The sequence below is a fragment of the Homo sapiens genome, chromosome 7 (assembly GCF_000001405.40).
Source record: "Homo sapiens chromosome 7, GRCh38.p14 Primary Assembly".
NCBI classification, from domain to species: domain Eukaryota; kingdom Metazoa; phylum Chordata; class Mammalia; order Primates; family Hominidae; genus Homo; species Homo sapiens.
This window is the reverse complement of record NC_000007.14, coordinates 90,612,929-90,635,723: the sequence shown is the minus strand read 5'-3', so window position 1 is coordinate 90,635,723 and position 22,795 is coordinate 90,612,929. Positions and strand designations below refer to the sequence as shown.

General features: G+C 38.6%; 1 protein-coding gene and 1 pseudogene across 1 annotated transcript in view, besides 1 other annotated feature; both read right to left on the bottom strand.

Annotated features, from left to right (window-relative positions):
* Positions 1–22,795, bottom strand: part of CDK14 (cyclin dependent kinase 14) — a 614,270-nt gene that overhangs the window by 574,867 nt on the left and 16,608 nt on the right. The window lies entirely within an intron of this gene.
* Positions 3,156–3,818, bottom strand: TVP23CP1 (TVP23C pseudogene 1; annotated as a pseudogene).
* Positions 22,514–22,633: an enhancer, noted in NCBI's record as "active region_26247". NCBI's record gives its function as "activates an Ori minimal core promoter by ATAC-STARR-seq in GM12878 lymphoblastoid cells {active_cell/tissue: GM12878}" and the evidence as "EXISTENCE:reporter gene assay evidence [ECO:0000049][PMID:35858748]".

Genomic DNA, 22,795 nt, shown 5'->3' with positions numbered 1-22,795 from the left:
CCCAAGGTAATTTATAGATTCAATGCCATCCCCATCAAGCTACCAATGACTTTCTTCACAGAATTGGAAAAAACTACTTTAAAGTTCATATGGAACCAAAAAAGAGCCCGCATTGCCAAGTCAATCCTAAGACAAAAGAACAAAGCTGGAGGCATCACAATACCTGACTTCAAACTATACTACAAGGCTACAGTAACCAAAACAGCATGGTACTGGTACCAAAACAGAGATATAGATCAATGGAACAGAACAGAGCCCTCAGAAATAACACCACATATCTACAACTATCTGATCTTTGACAGACCTGAGAAAAACAAGCAATGGGGAAAGGATTCCCTATTTAATAAATGGTGTTGGGAAAACTGGCTAGCCATCTGTAGAAAGCTGAAACTGGATCCCTTCCTTACACCTTATACAAAAATTAATTCAAGATGGATTAAAGACTTACATGTTAGACCTCAAACCATAAAAACCCTAGAAGAAAACCTAGGCATTACCAGTCAGGACATAGGCATGGGCAAGGACTTCGTGTCTAAAACACCAAAAGCAATGGCAACAAAAGCCAAAATTGACAAATGGGATCTAATTAAACTAAAGAGCTTCTGCACAGCAAAAGAAACTACCATCAGAGTGAACAGGCAACCTACAAAATGGGAGAAAATTTTCACAACCTACTCATCTGACAAAGGGCTAATATCCAGAATCTACAATGAACTCCAACACATTTACAAGAAAAAAACAAACAACCCCATCAAAAAGTGGGCAAAGGACATGAACAGACACTTCTCAAAAGAAGACATTTATGCAGCCAAAAGACACATGAAAAAATGCTCATCATCACTGGCCATCAGAGAGATGCAAATCAAAACCACAATGAGATACCATCTCACACCAGTTAGAATGGCAATCATTAAAAAGTCAGGAAACAACAGGTGCTGGAGAGGATGTGGACAAATAGGAACACTTTTACACTGTTGGTGGGACTGTAAACTAGTTCAACCATTGTGGAAGTCAGTGTGGCGATTCCTCAGGGATCTAGAACTAGAAATACCATTTGACCCAGCCATCCCATTACTGGGTATATACCCAAAGGACTATAAATCGTGCTGCTATAAAGACACATGCACACGTATGTTTACTGAGGCACTATTCACAATAGCAAAGACTTGGAACCAACCCAAATGTCCAACAATGATAGACTGGATTAAGAAAATGTGGCACATATACACCATGGAATACTATGCAGCCATAAAAAATGATGAGTTCATGTCCTTTGTAGGGACATGGATGAAATTGGAAATCATTCTCAGTAAACTATCGCAAGGACAAAAAACCAAACACTGCATGTTCTCACTCATAGATGGGAATTGAACAATGAGAACACATGGACACAGGAAGGGGAACATCACACTCTGGGGACTGCTGTGGGGTGGGGGGAGGGGGGAGGGACAGCATTAGGAGATATACCTAATGCTAAATGATGAGTTAATGGGTGCAGCACCCCAACATGGCACATTTATACATATGTAACTAACCTGCACATTGTGCACATGTACCCTAAAACTTAAAGTATAATAATAATTAAAAAAAAGAAAATCATAAAAGAAACAAAAAGACTCAATTCTAATCAAACTTTCTATGCATATTAACCATAAATTTTTGATCTTCATTTTCTTTTGCTCTATAAACAGCAATTTTATACAAATATAAAGTTTTATACCTTCACAGCTACTAGTCCAAAAAAGACACGTATTCAATTAAACATCTTTTAAAATATTTTAACAAAGTACAAATATATTCACAACATAATCTGCCGACTAAAGTCTCCAACAAAGTTTACAGTACCTACAACAGAATCTATGGGTGCCTAGAATAGTTTGTAGACTGATTTAGTTTACAGTTACATCTACTGCTTTAAGAAATACCATTAATACAAATGCATGATTTACAATATACCCATCATAGAAAGAAAAAAAAAGATTTATAAAATAAAATGTCTTTTAGGCATTTATTATGCCAAGTATTTAAATGATTACTGTCATTATGACATATGAATAATGCTCTTTTAGAGACAAAAGATAGATTTTATTCGCTCAAGGAACACTGAACAGCTTGTAGGAAGCTCCAAGGTAAAATTTGTCTATCCTTACCGTAAAATAAATGGAACAGTAGCAATCTCTGTGTATTCCTTAAACATAAACTATGGTGATTCCATTTGTATTAATTGGGCCTTAAGTCAATGAATTGTTACAAATAAAAATAAACAAAATTTCAGAAACTAGTTAACACCACTGACCCAAATTTGGTTTTTAATTGTTTGCATATATCTAAGAAATTTTACCATGAGGTACATATTAAAAATTAATAATTATTTCTAACTTACGCATAAGCCAAAATGCTCACTTTTATCATGGAAGCAAAATTTACTTCTGAAAATAGTCAACATAAATAATATGTAAACATACAGAGTTTTGAGACAGACTAACATCCTCTCATGTTCTATGAATCAAAATGCAAAAGTCTCCATACTTACGTAAATGAACACATTTTCATTAATTTGGGACATATTGATATTATATGACTATGTGCATACCTATGTACACTGCAAAACAATTTTTTTTTTTTTTTGAGACAGAATCTCGCTTTGTCGCCCAGGCTGGAGCGTAGTAGCACAGTCTCGGCTTACTGCAACCTCCACCTCCCAGATTCAAGCAATTCTCCTGCCTCAGTCTCCCGAGTGGCTGAGACTACAGACTACAGGCATGTGCCACCACACCCAGCTAATTTCTGTATTTTTAGTAGAGATGGGGTTTCGTCATGTTGGCCAGGCTGGTCTCGAATTCCTGACCTCAGGTGATCCGCCCACCTCGGCTTCCCAAAGGTCTGGGATTACAGGTGTGAGCCACCGTGCCCAGCCTGTAAGACAAATTTTCACAATGTTTCTAGTGACAACATATTTTCTAGCCCCAACTACTGGAAAGAAAATAAAAAGTATAAAAACTAATTTTCCTTTTTTAAAACAAGTAAAGCTTTTAAGTGGAAAAATAGAGCCAACACTCCTCATTACAACATGGACTGGGCACTAAAAGGTTCGGTGTCAAAAATGTCTTCATTCCCCAGTATAATAAAAGATATAAGAGCATTCTCTCTAGTCTGGAAGTCAGATTATCTTTACTGTTTTGTCTTAAAAACTGCTTTCCAGGCTACAAGATAGCCATGCTGGTTAAATTCCTTCTACTGCCAACTTTATACCTGATGTAACCATATAGGTTGGCATCTTGCAGCGCCACACCCATGATAACCACTGCCAATCACTTTACTCCAAAAAAGAAGAGGGCACTAAAGGCAATTACCACCCACAGCACTGAACAGGCAATAAATCCCAACCAAAAGATCCTTGATTCAGCCTCTGAGACAGTTTTGTTATCTTGAGGGGATGCCTTCCTGGACTCCCAGTGGCTCTTCCTGGACACCCAGTGGTTCTTCTCATCTTCATCAGTATGATTCCACCAATGCAGGTCCACCATCAGTCTACCTGTGACAGTCTTCACTGCCCCCAAATCACATGGCAACAAGAGAACTGTCACCATCCACGCAGTATAGCTGCTGCTGAGCAATTCACAGAGAAGATGGATTATAACTGCATGCACTCAAAAGAGTAAACAGAAAAATTACGCTATTGGGTGTCTAATTTTTTTTTGGTCTATTGTTTTTAATCCCCTATTCTGAGAAGCATTTTTGGTCTACTAAGTTGTCTTCTCTTCTGCATTGAAGGGTGAAACACCTTCAGTGTCATCATTACTGTCCTGCTGCAACATGGCAGCCATGCACTAGTTCCTTGATCTTCATCTTAAATGGATTCACCTTCAGTGACCTTTTTCCAGTGCCATTTACCCTTGAGCTTCCTGTATCTTTCTAGCTCCAATTAATGAGCAACATTCTAGCCAGATCTAGGCAGACTAAAATCATGTGCTTGAAGGGACTTTCTGCTGCGAAACCTCGTAACCCAGTCCCCGAGGGCCTTTCTTAGTACCAACTGTGTACACTGTGCACTACTCTTTTGCCTCTGAGCTTTGTGGTCCACTCCAAACCAACTGCTGAACAAGACACAAAAGTCTCCCCAGTCTATAAGTCTTCATGGGTTTGGTTGTTAATCACTAAGAAACAGATAAACATGGAACTGTCAAAAAATCCTTACAATAGTGGCCCCTAGTCTAAGGATCTTAACTGCTTCCCAGAAAGGTAAAACATACTCTGCTTTTATTCACTCATTAATACTACCCCACCACTACCATACTTCCCCACTCTACCTCATACCTTATCATTAGCCAAATCCCTTCCTCCAAGGTGGTCTGCTCTCCCTAAATGAAAATGCAAGTGAAGCAGAACGGTGGGTCTCAGGTGGACAGTCTGCCTTTCTGAGGAGCCCTGGCTAAGAGTCACCATGTAAGCAAGGCATTTTCTACATGTCCAGTCATTCATGAAACATCTGCTGTGACTTATCACATCATGACTTACCTTATCAGTGATAATGTAGATCACCCAACAAATTCAGAAAAGTTATGTGAGCAGCTTAGAGAAATAAACCAAGACCAGAAGGCAGAAATCCTTGATTCCATGCTGCTTCCATGAGAAGGGGGGTTCTGAATCCTATCAGAGTACCACCACCTTTTGATAGTAAGTGTTTGTAATATACAGAGATGGTATGCATGCAGAGAAAGAAAAACAACATAAAGTCCAAAATGTAATATAAAAAGAAAATAAAAGAGATTAACTTTTATTGTCTTTCATATGTGTGATTTAGGTACACACACACACACACACACACACACACATACACACCCCAAGATGTAAATACTCAGAGATAACACCACCAAATGATTTAATGATGTAGTGAGATGCTTGCAACCACTTTTAATGGGTAAATTTGGATTTTAAAAAAGTAAAAAAAATTCACCTGAATATTCTCAACAATTTTTATTGGATAATTTAGAATAAGGGCTAAATTTGTATGTACACACACACATATACATAACCATCATATTTCCTACAAACGTGTATTAGTGCAGTTATATACATAATAATTCAAATACCACAAACATCACTGCTACTAAGGATGGGATTTGCCAGAATGGTAGACGTTACTTTGTAATGTTGCTAATAAGTCAAAGTACAACTTTTGAAGTACTCAGCAGCTGCATTTCTGAAAATTTCAGAATACAGTCATGTGTTGCATAATGACATTTCAGTCAACAAAAACTTCATATATAATTCTGGTCCCATAAGATTATATTATCATATTTTAACTATACCTTTCCTATGTTTAGATACACAAGTACTTACCATTGTGTTACAACTACCTACAGTAACATACTATACAGGCAGCCCAGGAACAATAGGCTATACCATATAGCTTAGGTGTGCAATAGGCTATACCATCTAGGTGTGTGTAAATATACTCTATGATGTCTGTACAACAAAAAAGCTGCCTCATGACACATTTCTCAGAATGTGCCCCCATCATTAGTGATGCATGACTGTATGTGTATTAAAACTGGACATACATAAATATAGTTGTCTTTAAATGTTAAATGGAGTTGGGTTTTTGTTTTGTTTTTTGTGGTTTTGTGTGTGGTGTTTTGTTTTGTTTTGTTTTGTTTTGTTTTGTTTTGTTTTGTTTTGTTTGAGACAGTGTCTCGTTCTGTTGCCCAGGCTGGAGTGCAGTAGCACTATCTTGGCCGCTATCTTGGCTCACTGCAACCTCTGCCTCCCAGGCTTAAGTGATTCTTGTGCCTCAGCTTCCCAAGCAGATGTGATTACAGGCGCACGCCACCACGCCTGGCTAATTTTTGTATTTTTAATAGAAATGGGGTTTCACCATGTTGGTCAGGCTGGTCTCCAACTCCCGGCCTCAAGTGATCCACCCACCTCGGCCTCCCAAAGGACTGAGATTACAGGTGTGAGCCACCGCACCCAGCCAAGTTAGGTTTTTGGTTTAGGTAATTACAAATAGGTTTTTCATCAATTGAATCTCCAACATGGACATTCAAAGATTTTGCAAAAGGCATCAAATAAGCATTCACTTAGTTAGCTGTTCTGTACACTACAGAATGTCTGGCACCCTTTAACCCCTGCCCACCAAACACCAGTAGCACACTTCATTATTTGGGACAACCAGTAGTTCCCATCAATTTCCAAAACACTCCATTAGAGGGCAGTACCACTCCTACTGAGACCCACTGAATAAAGGCATCCTAAAAGTATTGACTAGGGACAGACAGACACCAGACCCAGTGCTAGTGAGACACTAGGGACAAAGTGATTAAAAATACAGAGCAAGAGCTTAGAGCACAGTGGGGAAAGTGACATTAAACAACTGTCCAAGTAATTATGTCAATACAAAATACTATAAATGCCATGAAGGAAAGCTATAAACTGCTAATTTAGATGGTGGGGTGGCATCAGACTTGAGGAGTTTGTGAACTACTAAAATTCTTTTATTAACTTGGAGACATAAGTAGGGTTGGCAGCTGTATAATTTTGCCATGAAAGGTCATTTAAAAATATTAATAATAACTATCATTTGTAATTGCCGTAGTAGCAAGAGGCAGTAATGAAATCATCTCTGAATTTAAAAAAATATATATAAAACAAAAAAGTACTTTTAGCTTGGTGGAAAACCTCACTACATTTTTTTTAATGTCTTTGCTGCAGGCTGGTATAAGACAGCAGCATTTTGCTATCATATACTAGATCTCTACGTGGTCTCTGGACCAGAGTCATCAACATTACCTGAGAGTCTGTGAAAAATGCAAACTTTCATCTCAGACCTACTGCATCAAATCAGTCTCACTCTCTCTCTCTCTGTCTCTCTCTCTTCTTAAGGGTCAGGGTCTCACTCTGTCGCCAAGGCTGGAGTGCAGTGGTGGGTGTGATCATAACTCACTGCAGCCTGCAACATCTGGACTCAAATGATCCTCCCGCCTTGAGTCTCCTGAGTAACTGGGACTACAGGCACGCAACCCCATGCCTGTCTAAGTTGTTTTTTAAATATATATATATTTTTAGAGACAAGGTATCTCACTATGTTGCCTAGGCTGGTCTCAAACTCCTGGCCTCTACTGATCCTCCTACATCAGCCTCCCCAATCACTGGAATTACAGGCATGAGCCACTATGCCTGGCCCAAATTTCATCTTAACAAGATCCCCAGGTGATTCACATCCACACTGAAGTTTGAGAAGGACTGTGGCAGAATAGATCATATGGACCCTCAATGGCTGAAATTCAGCCATAGCCATCTACATTTAAGAATCAGTAATGGCCTTTAACACTTGGAAGTGATTGAGGAGTCCTGGAAAAATCAGGGTGAAAAATGAAACAGAAAGCAGGCAAGCTGCTATAACAAAAGTTATCTTGGGGTGGGAAGGAAAGCAAACAAGCTAGAATCCTAAAAAATCACCTTTCTGGCCAGGCACGGTGGCTCACGCCTGTAATCCCAACACTTTGGGAGGCTAAGGCAGGTAGATTACTTGAGTCCAGGAGTTCAAGACCAACTTGGGCAACACAGCAGAACCCCGTCTCTACAAAAATAAAAATAAAAATTGCCATGCATAGTGGCACACACCTGTGGTCCCAACTACTTGGGAGGCCGAAGTGGGAGGATCACTTGACCCTGGGAGGTCAAGGCCGTAGTGAGCCATGATTGCACCACTTGTACTCTGGACTAGTAGAGCAAGACCCTGTCTCAAAAAATAATAATAATTGAGAAGAAAAAAATGAAGTGCAAATCACAAACAAAAAGCATTCACAGCTTTGCAGTAGATTTTAGGAGCATAAAACTGAGTTGCACGGCTCCTATGTGGGAGAATCCCTCCAGGGATTTCGCTAAATGCTGAGTCTTGTCCTGACTGCTACTCCTACCATAAGACAAAGCAGTTTTTATCACTATTGGTCAAGAATTCAGCCTGCTGTTTAGGTGACTTCAGTAGCACCTGTTTAGGTGCTACAGTTGAATTCACGTTCTGAGATCATTAATCCCACAATTAGTTTTTCTAACAAAGGAAATCTCTCTAGAAATGTGTTAATTATGAGCAAAGACATGAGGCCAGATTCATGTCTCTTTTCTAGGCCACTTTGATGGGAAAATAATTGCCAGTATAACGCAATGCTTTTTATAGTAAGAAGAAAAGTTACAGTAAAGATCTGTGCTAGCTGGGCACAGTGGCTCATGCCTGTAATCCCAGCAGTTTGGGAGGCCAAAACACGAGGATTGCTTGAGCCCAGGAGTTTGAGTCCAGCCTGGGCAACACAGTCAGACCTCTGTCTCTACAAAAAATTTTTAAAACTTAGCCAGGTGTGGTGGCATGCGCCTGTAATCACAGCTACTTGGGAGGCTGAGGTGGGAAAATCACTTGAGCTTGGGAGGGTGACACTACAGTGAGCCATGATTGCACCACTGCACCCCAACCTGGACAAAAAAGGAGACCCTGTCAAAAAAAAAAAATCTGTGCTGACCAATAGTAGCCACTAGCCACATGTGGCTAATGAGCACCTGAAATGTGGCTAGTCTAAATTGAGATGTATAATAAAGTACACAAGCAGATTTTTAAAGCAATACAAAATAAGAGTAAAAATCTCAATAATAACTTTAATGTCCAAATTATATTTTTATATATGGGGTTTTTCAAGTATAATAAAAGTAAAGTTATCTGTTTCTTTTACTTTTCTTTTTTTGTTTTGTTTTTGTTTTTGTTTTTTGCTGTTTTTGTTTTGTTTTGTTTTTTGAGACAGGGTCTCATTCTATCACCGAGACTGGAGTGCGATGGTGCAATCAGAGCTCACTGCAGCCTCAAACTCTGGGCTCAAGTGATCGTCCCACCTCAACCTGTGGAGCAGCTAGGACTACATGACAGACACACATCACACCTGGCTAATTTTATTTTTTTGTAGAGATGAGGTTTCACTATATTGCCCAGGCTGGTCTCCAACTCCTGGGCTCAAGCCATCCTCCCACCTTAGCCTCTGAAAGACCTAGGATTATAGGCCTGAGCCACAACACCTGGCTTCTTTTACGTTTTTAACGTAACTACAAGAAAAATGTTAATGACATGAAATTTGCATTATGTATCTATTGAACAGTGCTGGTCGAGAAGCTCATTAGAATTATACATGCATCAATCTTCAGTTTAGATTATAATCTATAGATAAATTATAGAAATTACAGATAATCACAGATAATCCTAGAGAATAACTGCAGAAAACATGAATTTTGGAGGTAGCCAAACAAAAAGAGGTGCTTGGCAGTATTGATCTCTTCATTTTAACAACAGCTGAGTAAGAGAGCCCTTTCAGAAATGTCTGCCTGAGGGTCTCTAAATTTATACCCAAAGAAGAGAGAAACATCAAGTATTTAATAAAAATAGCGCTGGGGGAGGAACTGATAAAAACTGAGGTGCAATCACAGTGATGACCAGTTCTCTCACAGCCTAGGAATGTAGGGGTGGAAAAGATAAACAAATTCCACTGACAATAGCCAATAATTTCCTGGTCTAAGGCATTCAAATAACTAAACCTTCCCGCCTCTAAGTAAATGGGAAAGTAAAACCACAATCCCAATACTCGCCTCAGATCAAGAATGGTGCTACCAGTGGAAGTCACAGAAAGATTGTATTGATTTGCAGAGGTATAACTATAAATTAAAATTAACTCATAGTTCTTCTTCCATAGTACAAAGAAAAATGGAAAAGCTCCCATGGAATTAAAAAGTAGATTCAGAAATCATTGTTTAAATAGCAAGACCTCCACACACAGTGTTAAAACATCTCCAATAATGGAAAATGGTGCTGGGTCAGATTCAGTTTGGGAATAAGACTACGAGTACGAAGAAAAGCAAAGTAGCTAAAGCCATCTCCAATCTAGGCAGATTCCTCTCATTCCTGGCCGGGGGAACAATCCCATCACTTAGGAAATCTGGACCTCTGCCAGCCTGCTGCTTCTGTAGCATGCTGGGGGATGGGTGAGGAGGGTTTGGAAATGTCTGGGCAGCTGGCTTTTATCACAAAGCCTTCTCTCTTAGAAAGGCCTATAATGAATTTCCTAGACATGATATAACACAATATTTTAAGTGATTAATAGTGCAAAAATATTACATTTAAAATACTACATTTAAAAAATGAATGTCCAAGGTATAAGAGATCAATAATTACACAAATTAAATGTGATGCAAATATTAAAATAAATGTATTTTAGTGGTTTTTGAATTGCTTTCATTAGGCTTAACTTCAAAACATCTAAATAGGAGAGGAAGAAACTAACCAACTGAAAGCTTAATGTACATGGCAGGTACTACCGTAACTTATTCCACTTAAAAATAACCTTTTTTAAAGACAGAGTCTCGCTATGTTGCCCAGGCTGGAGGGCAGTGAAGCCATTGCAGCTCACTTCGGCCTTGCACTCCTGGACTCAAGCCATCCCACTGCCTCAGCCTTCTGAGTAGCTAGGACAATGGGCATGTGTCACCACGCCTGGCCAGGTTTTTTTTTATTTTTTAGAACTGGGGTCTTGTTATATTGCCCAGGCTTGTCTCAAGCAGTCCTCCTTCCTTGATCTCCCGAAGCACTGAGATTATGAGCCACTGTGCCCAGACACAATTAACTTTTAGTAGAGAATTTACTATGAGCCATTCGCCGTTTTAAGTGTTTTACACGTTTTGAAACTGTTGTGATCCTATCAACTCTATGAGCTAAGTATTATTAGCATCCTCCTGTTCGAGATGAGGAAGCTGAGGCATCGAGATGTTAAGCTTCACATAGCCAAGGAGTGTTGGAGCCTGGATATGACTGACTACAGGTTTATGACACCAAGCAGCTGGTTCCAGCATCCTGACTTATCGCCCTATAATATATGAGACTGCCTCACAGCCTTCACTCGCAGATGAGGACGCTGAAGCTCAGGGAGATTAAGCAACTGTCTGTTCATGGTAACAAAGCTACTAAGTGGTGGAGCAGAGTTTCAAATCCATATCTAATGCTAAATCCTTCTCATAAGCAGCTTCCTGTTATCACCAAACCTCTGCTCCAGTTTGTAATACTGTCAGAAATATCTCATTTTCTCCTATTCTCAGGGGATGGTTGCTAGCCACTTCTCTCTCTTTCCTCTTAGCCAAACTGCCAGTACTGCCTCCACAGTTTGAGCTGTTGGCTCTTGAGGTACCTAAAGAATACAAAATAGGATTTATGTTTCTCACTGCTATGTAAACTTAAGCATTCAGGTCCATAAATCTAGAACACAGAAACACAGAATATAGAGAACAAAATGCGTTTGTCTGAATAGAAAATTAGAAAGTGACTCATTATTTGTCATTAATGTTATGAAATAGAAGAAATAACTACCTTTTCGAAATCCACATTGCTAGGGTTTCTAGGTCACATACCTCCCCTAATCTGATGCTGAATGCAATGTCTTTAAATCCTGACCTTTTCAGGAGAAGCAGAATAAGGGGGTGAGGGTGAGAGGGCAGGAAACCTGGGTCCCAGACAAAGCTCCACTGTGAGAACAGAAGACTGTGGCCTGGGGAACAGCACTTACCTTCCCTGAGTACAATTTCCACCTCTACAAAACAGAGATGAAACTACATGTCCACTCCTTCACAGGGCTGTTTTGTTGCAAAAATTCACTGAAATATCATATGAAATTGTTTTGTAAACTATGAAGCCCTACAAAATATGTATTATAAATATGCAATGACACTCCTGCCTAATCTTAGCAAGCATGAAAAGGGGTTTCAGGGCTTCTGATGATGACAAAGAGGAAGACAGCAGTCTGTGCCTCTAATCCCACACACCCAGTAACCCAACCTTCCAGATGAAATCTTCACTGGACTTTCAGGTTCAGGAGCTGTGTTTTAAAACAACAGTGAGAGATAATAAGCACTGATTTAAATAAAAGGCTTGAAAACTCCAGGAAGGCATTATCACCACTGTAACTGCCATCCTAATCAAACCTCTGAGGGATGGCTCAGGATGCTCAAGGGGAAAGTTAATTGCTAGACTTTCTGATCAAGTGTGAGACGGTGAAAATTTTACCTTAAAATCACTGAAAAAAAACCTGATATTCACAATACTTACATATTCTACTTTTTAATAAATTGAAAAAGAAAACTTAAAAAAACAACTAATACCTTAAAATCTAATATTCAGAACACTTCAGGTTTTCCTTTTCAGTTGTGCTTTTTTTCCTTCCTTCTTTCCCACTATTGCCATGCCAGTATCCCAGTCTGCCATCAACCCTGCCAAAGAGATGCATATATACAGAGAAAAGCCCTTTAAAGAAAGCAAAGTAACTATAAAGATATCAAAATTCAACTAAAGAAACAGCTGCCCATTTCTTAAAATAAAAGATGTCTAATTATTGGTATTCATGTGGTCAGCCTACACCCCCAGAAGGGCACAGATCCACTCTTTCAGTCACAGCAGAAATCCTTTTAAGCCATTTGACATCCTGCACTGTGCAGTTTTAGACCTACGTATATGTCTGGGTTAGAGGAAAAACACATGATCACAAACTCTATAAAGAAAAAAGATTACGGAAGACAAAGACAACAAAAATTTTAAAATAAATAAAAAGAATTTTTAAAAATATATATATAATACGAGAAAGCCAGTGAGCTGACAAATGGCATGCTATTACATTAATAATGGAAACTATGAATATTCATTACACAATTGTCATAAATAGAAGGACGGAAAACCAGAGAGTGCAGATGGAGCAAAAACTCAGAGTGCTAAAAAAAAAAAAAAAGAAAAAAAAAGAAAGAAAACACATGCAGTCTCAGACAATATTTTTTAAGTAGGATCCCTGGGTGGAAACTTTGATCTGAGATAAGATGGGACAGTAAAGAAAGAATTTCCTTATACAAGGTAAATAAACAGTATAAACTACCCAGAATGACAGGAAGAGCTTTCAGTAAAAACACAGTCAGGGTAGTCTTCGCTTAGGATGTTTTGGAAAAAGGATAATCTAGCTCCCAAATCACAAATAAGGTTAGTAGATATTGCTTCACCCTTCCACACTCCCACTACCCACTTAGAGAAGGGACCACCCCAGATAAAAATCCAATGCACTAATGTGCAATCTCAAATGCTTTTAATTTTTATATATCTTGGGAATGAAGAAGAAAACCAAAAATATGAATAGGATTAACCCCAAAACATGTGCTCAGGGATCACAACTTTTATGCCCAATTGCATGCTGAGGACTTCAGAGAAAGATCACCGCGTTAGATTGACAGTTTTTCTACTAATAAAAGTTTCAAGAAAAGTACAGAAAACTCATAAGCTCAAGATGATAATGCATACATTTACTAAGCAAAAACATTACCACACAGACAGTCATTTATTTTTTTAAATGTGCACAGAATATTCCAAATTGTAGTTTCCAAACAACAGGGATAAAAAGATGCAGGCACTAAATTATTGACAACACTCAACATCTGACCGGTACTTTTTAATTAGCTAAGAAAGACTCCAACTCCTTAAGGCAAATGCCACAGGATTAATAGTAAATACCTGCTCTAAGCAGGAAAATCCATTTGCTTGCAGCACTTCCATTGTACTTCGTTTCTCAATTAGTCCCACAGCCTAAGGCTACCCTAATACACTTTTAGCATTAATTTGCAACTTAAAAGTTACACAATTCAAGTAAATGTAACCCAATCATCATCAAATGCAAGCAACTTTCAATGTTCCCTTTCAAAGGCCAACAATCCAGCAGGTCTCTCCAGCTGCTACTTAAACTGGCGTGAGGGCCGTGTCTGGGTCACCTCCACTTCTGGAGCTTCACTAGCCCTGTGACCCTGTGCTAGTTGCTTAACTTCTCTAAACTTCCGTTTCCCCATCTGTAAAAATAGAAATAATAGTGCCAACATTACTGGGAAAATTAAATAAGGTCCATACAGAAAAAACATTTAAGATAAATCCCATCCCCATGAATAAACAGTTGGTGAATTCCTGTGGCAAAGGAAGGAAGGAAGGAAGGCAGGAAGGCAGGAAGGCAGGAAGGAAGGAAGGAAGGAAGGAAGGAAGGAAGGAAGGAAGGAAGGAAGGAAGGAAAAAAAGTCTGAATTATGGGAACAAATTCACCTAAAAGACTCCAAAAGTATTATCTGTTTATTCTCTCAAGCAACTTTTATTCAGCACCTACTAGGTGCAAAGGACTGTTCTGAAAGAATGAGATTCAGAGAGAGGTAGAAATGCTGTCTCTGCCCTCAGGAACCTTACACAGTCTTGCAGGGGGAAGAGAGTATTTTAAGGATGTGAACATCTGCTCAAACAACAGGTCCCAAGACTGTGATGTCTACAATGGAGAAAATGCCCCAGTTACTCAACACATGAACACAAGACACATGGAGTAGAGACAAAGGGGCTTCCCCTGCCAGACAATAAACATGAGCCAGTACAAATGCAGGCAAACAAGAAAGGGAACCAAGAAGAATCAGAAAACCTCTGGCGAGGCACCAACCCAAAAACGAGGAGGTACAGGGAGATTTTCCCTCCCTCTGTATCTGGGGTAATCATCATAGACCTCTGGAAATCCTGTGACCAGATGCACACTGTAGATGTGACATATGTGAACGCTGTTTCCTTCTAAAACATGAGTTAGTAGTGCTCACATATGCAGAGCTCCTGACTGTCTTGTGGGATGCAAACTCCCATCCACCAAAAACCACCTGGCATACAAACCCCACCAGTGGACATTCCTTTTCTGCCAGATCCAGTAACACGTGGTCATAGCAAGGCCACTGTGATGGGCAGAAGTGGGGCAACAAAAGGAGGAAGCCTAAATTTGGACTTTACAGACTCAGTTTCCCCCTCTTTAAAATGTGGAGGTTCCTAAAATTAGACTGCTGGTGTTCCCATCATAAAGCCAGGAGTCTCCATGTGCCCCTCAGCTTGTGCCCACAGATGTGAGGACTCATGTGGAGGATGGCCCAAATGTCACGTGCAGCACCACACTGCATGTGCCAATGCTTTGAGAGGCACAGCCCAGCTCTATGAAACGGTGGTGCCTGCTCCGTGCCAAGACCCTTTACAGGAATTACAAGCATTATTTCATTAATTCTTACAACTTTGCCAGGTGGAGAGGGTTACCTCTGTTGTACAGATAAGGAAAAGGAGACTACTAGATGGCCTCACACAGATTATAAATAGGGATACGGGGACAAGCTGGAAGATGGGTGAAGGAGATTCCAGCGCTCTTGCACTTTCCACTCACACCCAGATTCTGAGGTTGTTCAGGTGGAGAAGCGTCACTCACCGCCGTCTGGAGAGCACAGAGTTTCAGCTAGAGACAGCATTGTCATTGCCCCTGACATGCCAGTGCCAATCAATCGATCCACCAAAAATAAAAGAAATCTCAAAGAAAAATACCCAGCCCAGTCAACTGAGTTAATAATTAGATAATTAATTTGATAAGTTAATAATTTGTTGAGTTAATAATTCCTGTGGCTTGTCTGTGCCTTGCTGATCCTTGAAGTGGTAGATGTCCCACTGAAAGCTCATAAATATTTCTCAGGTTGCCAACTAGACAAAAATACTATACATTGATACATCATCTTGTAGGACATGTATTACAGAAACATTTAATATACATACTTGTAACAGCAAGGGGATGTCAACTAGATCATGAATAAAGAGTCATATCTCTCTGTATTTGTTTTTGTTGTTGTTGTTTCGAGAGTCTTGCTCTGTCACCCAGGCTGGAGTACAGGGTCACAATCTCGGCTCACTACAACCTCTGCCTCCTGGGTTCAAGCGATTCTCCTGCCTCAGCCTCCCAAGTAGCTGGGACTACGGGCTTGGGCCACCACACCAGCTAACTTTTGTATTTTTTAGTAGAGACAGGGTTTTGCCATGTTGGCCAGGCTGATTTCAAACTCCTGGCCTCAAGCAATGCGCCCACCTCGTCCTCCCAAAATGCTGGGATTACAGGTGTGAGCCACCGCACCCAGTTCTTTTTTTCCTTCAGTATCAATTTTTACATTCCCCAAAACAGCCTTCAAATAATTAAACATAACGGTCAGTTCTCTCACACAGCAAGCTTTAAAAAACCAACAGAAATTACGATACAATGTACCTGAAGACCTTGGTTATTAAATATTTATAGAAGTTAAAATAATCAGTATTTTATGTTCATTAAAATTTTTAATAGTGAAAAAATACTCATCTGAGGCCTAAAGAAAAATAACAGCTTTCATCTAGAAAGTTGCAGGTATCAAGAGACAAAAAAACTGTAAATATCATTTTATGGAACACTGGAAAGAGATTTTCAAATGTAATCTTTGAGTTTTCAGGCTGTATCTTTTATTTAAATGTCCAGTTTCCTTAAACCCCTACATATGTGTCAATTGTGTTATTTGAAATGGGCTTAAAAGCACTAGAGATGTTAAATATCATTCAATCAATATTGTGCAGTAGACACAGAAAAACAGGGAAAAATTGCCTTAGCTTCATTTCTTTCCCTTCCTTTACCCTCAAGATAAACGTAATATTGAAGTGACAGAAACAGATGTTACAACTGGGATCCACGCATCACACTCACCGCCACCAGTCTGAGAAGTGAAATACCCAATGGAGGTGGAAACAAGTTAGAGGCTCTCAAATGTATGTTAAATGCTTCCCAAACAAACAGTGGGAAGGGCTGGCAAATACATTCATTTTAAAAGTAAATATTAACTTAATGAGCTTGGTGACCGGAAAACTGATTCTGCTCTCTTGAGATTTTTACTTCCCTGCTCCTTCTCATCAAAAAGCAAAAGAAAAAGACACAATAAGGCACAAATTCTCCTACTTCTGAGTCCAAATGGTATCAGAAAAGAATCTAAAATCACTCTTTCTGTATGTGTCCTCAAATCTTTCCAACTCAACTGATGGTAAAAAGGAAAGATAAAGTACATCAAACAATGTAAATACTTGCAGAACTAGTCCATTAAATGCAGTGGGGATCATCAGAAAAGCCAAGTCTTTTTTTAGGAGCCATAATTCTGTGCTCTAATAGCAGAAGACGGCCAATCATTATAAAACATCTCTAACTCCTGCCTGAGACTTCCCCCTTCATCTTCCCTTGCCTGCACCAGTTGCACATCAAAAAAGTATTATGTCTGGTACAAAGATGGCAAAAGCAACCAAAAGTTCATTCACTGGACCCAGCACCTGGGTCATGAAAGGCTTGAGGGCAAGGTGGAGCCCAGTGGCTGGCAACTAAACCACCAAAAGCAAGGTGTTTTCAGAAAGAACAAAGAAAAAGGAAAGAAGAAAATGCAATGATATTGGAAGCATAGAAGAAAATCCAGTGAATTGGAAGCATTTTATGTTTACGTAAAGGAAAAGGAGAGAAAGAGAGAAAAAAAATTGGTCTATCCCTTTTCTTAGCACTCACTCTACCAATAAAAAAGAATCCAAAGTATTGAATGTTTCTCCCTATACCCACCTAAAGTCTTCATCTTTCTAAGATGTAAATATTAAAAACCTGTCTGTTTCCTCCATATTTTTAATCTTCACAAAGATTTTAGCTGTCATAATATGAAATAAAAATGAAGCCAGAGTGGCTTCACACGCACAAGCTAATAATCCAAGTGTATATATTCAGGATTCGAAGAAAATGAATGAATTTATTATCTGACATTTTCTGTTCAATACTAACCATTTGCCTTGCTCAGTGAAGGCAATTTACACCCATTGAAAGATGTTCTGACACTTTTTTCAGAACATGCTAGTTAAAACACAGCAGTTTTCTCATCATGCCTTCCAGCTCAAACCAGTCTGTATATCACAAGGTGGTCCATGGTACCTCAACCAATAGTTAACCTTCCATAATCTTCATTGACTACAGAGCCCTCATGTCTAGCAGGAAATTTTTACTAAACAAATTACTACCCGAAGGATCAAGTTTACATCTCACCAAACAATCCACCCACTCCCCACCTAAATCCAGATAAAAATGGCAATACAAGCTTAGTTTTAACGTAACCTTGAAACTGAAATCTAAAACCTAAAGAGTAATTCAGCAAAGAAACTCCCTTGATTTCACAACGACTAATCAACCATGTTCTCTTCAGCAACATTATTTAGTAACATAATGATTTAATCTCCCTGGGTCTCAGTTTCCTCTCTGTAAAATGTGTGTAACTCAGTTCAAAAATGACATAGATCTATGGCAGGAATCTTTAAGGTTCACTTTTAGGCCTTTTTTAGGCCTAATTCTAGCAGTAATTCATCTGCTAGAATTACTACCAAAATCAGTTGTTTCTTTGTAAGAACTTTGTTTTCCCAACTATATGCTGCACCTGTAGTAGTAGTACCTAGATGTTATTTCTCCCTTTCTCCCTTCTCCTGGGAGGCAGCGTAGTTTGGATGCAGAGAGACTAGGTTAGAATACTAGATTAAACCACCACCTTCTAGCTAAGGGACTCTGAGCAAGTCACAATTTCAATAAACCCCAATCTCCCCATTATCCATTTGTTGTATTTCCTTTTTTTCAGATGTTTTCCCCCATGGAGAGGATACTTATAATCTTACAAAACCGAGATCATACTCTACATACAATGGCTGTTTCACTGTAAATAATAATTTCTATTTTATACATGTTCTGCCATGAACATAATTACTTTTCTTAATAGCAAATATTAAAATTATTCAATGAAACACATGTAATTGTGATAAGAGGTAAGGTTTTGAAGCTGAAAAAAAAGTCCACCATTGAGTTTAATATGCCTAACTATCTTGCCTGAAAAAAAAATAATCAAAATGGAGGAAAATATGTGTATATATACACAGGCACACATATATATATATGATGATGATGATATAATAAGGTAACTAAAGGGAATGCTGAAGATCATCAAAGTGCATCATCCAAAACTGTGGTCATCCAATTAATGTCACTTTTATGGGTTTTAATCTTTTTTATCTTCTAATAACTATATAGAAATTAGTGCAATGTACACTGTACAATTTGCATTGTATCTTGCAAGTACACATTTATTTTTTTCCTTTCATGACTAAAACACCTTTTTTGTTGCACATGTAACACATCATTTAGATAAAGTAATGCAAACCTCTTGGGGAAAGTTTTGAACTCAATTAGGGCATCTGGGGACAAGCCATATGTTACCAAGCCTTTTGCACACCTGAACCCCAATATGTAATGACCCAAGGATGCTCATTTGTAAGATTAAATAGTCTGCCTTTTAAGAGAAGAGAATCAGGCACTGCAGGACATTCTCCATCATATTGACTTGAAGACAATACAAAGAGAGCTATATAGCTGAAGATTTAAAATAAACGAGCACCTATAACACAAAAGAATTTGTAATTCATGCCCTGAATAACTGTAACTAACATCTCTCTTCTTTACCTATATTTTTTAATAAAAAATGTTTTCATTAAAATCAAAAGTAACCATAAGTTATTCTCACTCATTTTTCTCTGTTATAAAATAATGCTTACTTATCCATTTCTTTGTTAGAAATTTCTGTATCACTGTTTTAGTTTTTCTTTTGGCTAAAATTTCTGGATTATGAATTTGATATTAATAAATACACAATTTTAGGACTAAGAAGACTATATTTTCTGAATCAAAAATCAGAAAGCATTATCTAAAACCAAGAGCTGTTCCAAAAAAAATTAAGGTTGCATATGATTGTACCAATATCCATCTTCAACTCCTAATAATTCAGCAACAGATATTTTAAAAGAAAGGCTCTCAAACTCTGAACTCACTTGAGGGATATGACACACCCCCAATAACAACCCTTCCTAACTACAGCAGCAAAATTTTCAAGGTGCGTGAATATTTTGATAGGGGAAGTGAAGAGACCTGCACCAAAATCTTTACAGAGCACTTTGAAAACTCTCACCCTCCACCTCTACCACAGCCCATCACTGCTTTATAGAACTGGTGCAATCTCCTTTTTTGAAAATCCGTTAAAATAGAAAAACTAATACTCCAAGACAACTAAGTTATCCAAGAGATATGTCACAGGTTATAATTTCATATTTGGCACATTCCCATGGGCAAATCTGGAATAAGCCAAATTCCTGGTACTCTAACTGCAACTCAGCCCCCTTCTTTCCCACTCAAAAAAAATACCAAAACATAATTGAAAGACTGACTTCAATATACTCATTTTTTAAAGAAAAGTATTCACACACTTCAATATTTCAGCTGATCAGAACACAGAGTTATAACGTGTTCGAGATCTGCTAGACTAGAATAGTTCCCAAACTCTGAAAAACATCATAGTTTTATTCTAAATACCACACTTTATAGACATCTTACATGAGGGTAGTCAGAGACTGAGAAAACACAAAAGAGCACACAGAATTGTAGAATCCAGGACTCCCTGGGTTCTCTAAGCAATTCCAAATGTCTTTTAAATTGTAACTTGCAAGATTGGAGAAAGATATTCTTAATCAGTGAAAGGTCGAATAAGTACTTGCCTGATGCATTTTCATCTAGGTATAAAAGTGCATATTGAAAACTTTTTTTCTATCGTATTATAACTACATGGGTCATAAAAACCTTAAAATTTTTTTTCAACACATTCCTTACTCATACACATAAGATTCATCATTATCATAGAATTTAGAGTAGCTATTGAAAAACAGGAAAACTATTAATTTCATTATTAAAAAATTAATCATATAATGTTGCACTATAAGACATGCCATACTTGCAGATGATTTCAGAATCTTATAATTTTTTGCTAATACCTGGCTTTTTCCTAAAACCACTGTAAAATAATTTTCCATATCCCCAGCCTAAGTTTAGGATGCTCGTGGAACACCCAGGTCACAATAAACTTACCAAGGCAAAATAAATAAATAAATTAATTAATTTTAAGAAAATTCCCAGGCTCATATGCCTAAAAGAAACAACAGTTCATTTCAAAAGAGTTAATAAAATAAAACTAAAAGACAGCCAGGTACAGTGGCTCATGTCTGTAATTCCAGCATTTTGAGAGGCTGAAACTGGTGGACTGCTTGAGCCCAGGAGTTCAAGACCAGTCTGGGCAATACAATGAGATGCCATCTTTTTTATTATTTTTTTAAAAAAATTAATTTTAAAAAGAAATTTAAGAAAACTAAGTTGCTAAGAAAGAAGGAAAACTTAAAAAATAAATAGTAAGTTGGAAAAATAACCAGAACTTTACACATTGAAAATAAAATAGATTCAGAAGGGAAAGTGAACATTACTTCAATTATTCCCTTAAAATGATGAAAGCTCCTTTAAGACGCTGATGAGACCTAAAGAAATTAAGCTTGCAAAACTGAAAGCAAACTGCTGGTTCCAATATCTTGTAATTATGCCTTTTATAAGTTTTATGACAAGAATAATAAGAGTTAAGAGTGTTTGGAACTAGGCCGGGGACGGTGGCTTATGCCTGTAATCCCAGCACTTTGGGAGGCCAAGGCGGGTGGATCACTTGAGATCAGGAGTTTGAGACCAGCCTGACCAACACAGTGAAACCCTGTCTCTACTAAAAATACAAAATTAGCCAGGCAGGTGGCGCATGCCTGTAATCCCACCTACTTGGGAGGCTGAGGCAGGAGAATCACTTGAACCCAGGAAGCAGAGGTTGCAGTGACCCAAGATCGCACCATTGCACTCCAGCCTAGGCAACAAGAGCGAAACTCCATCTCAAAAAAAAAAAAAAAAAGTGTTTGGGACTATAAAAAATAGTCTCAAACACTCAGGACTGGAATCTATGGTCCAGTCCTGAGAAAACTCTGACCCACCTTGGCTTCACTGATTTCAATGATTGCTATGGTTCCTAATAGGAGAAGCCATCCCAATCACAACCCAGCAATATAAAAATTTCTAAATTGATGACTCAAATTCCAGTCAGAAGGAAAATAGGCATAATGTACTGCAGCTGAGCCCATTTTGCACTTGTTGAAGAAAATAGAGTAGTTAGGCTGTACAGAAAGACTTCCTACGTCAAAGGTCAGCGTCTTTTTTTATTTTTTTTTTATTTTTGAGACAGAGTCTCGCTCTGTCACCCAGGCTGGTGTGCAGTGGCACGATCTCAGCTCACTGCAAACTCTGACTCCCAGGTTCAAGCAATTCTCTTGCCTCGGCCTCCCAAGTAGCTGGGATTACGGGCACCTGCCACCACGCCTGGCTAATTTTTGTATTTTTAGTAGACACAGGGTTTCACTACGTTGGCCAGGCTGGTCTCAAACTCCTGACCTCAAGTGATCCCTCCCAAGGTGCTGGGATTGCCACCAGGCCCGGCCCAAAGGTCAGCTTTCAACAAATGAATTCAAACATGCAAATCAGAGCACTGCCCAGGAGGGAACACTAACCACCCTTACAGCAGAGACTTCCTACAGGCTATACAGCCTGCCACCAGGATGCAGGGTGCTCACAACGGAAAGAGGACACTACTCATGTTTTCCATTTCTGTAATATTCTGCCTTTTGAGAATTACAAATTGAAAGTGACTAATTCTCCCAAATGTCATACATCTTGCACTTTGTGACATGTACTTCCTCTCTGAATCTTTACAGCACTACGCAGACATTTGAGCCACTGTCTGGGACTAGACCTAATTATGATAATTATGTCTACCATAATTAGGGAGATGGTAAATATGATCAAACATTTATAAAAAGGAAAAACTGAAGCACAGAAAGTTTTAAGCATCAGAAAATTAAAACTAAATTTCCAATGAGAGAATTAAGGAGGTAGTGATGTTCTTTTTCAGCTATCTTAAATGCTGAATTTGAAATATA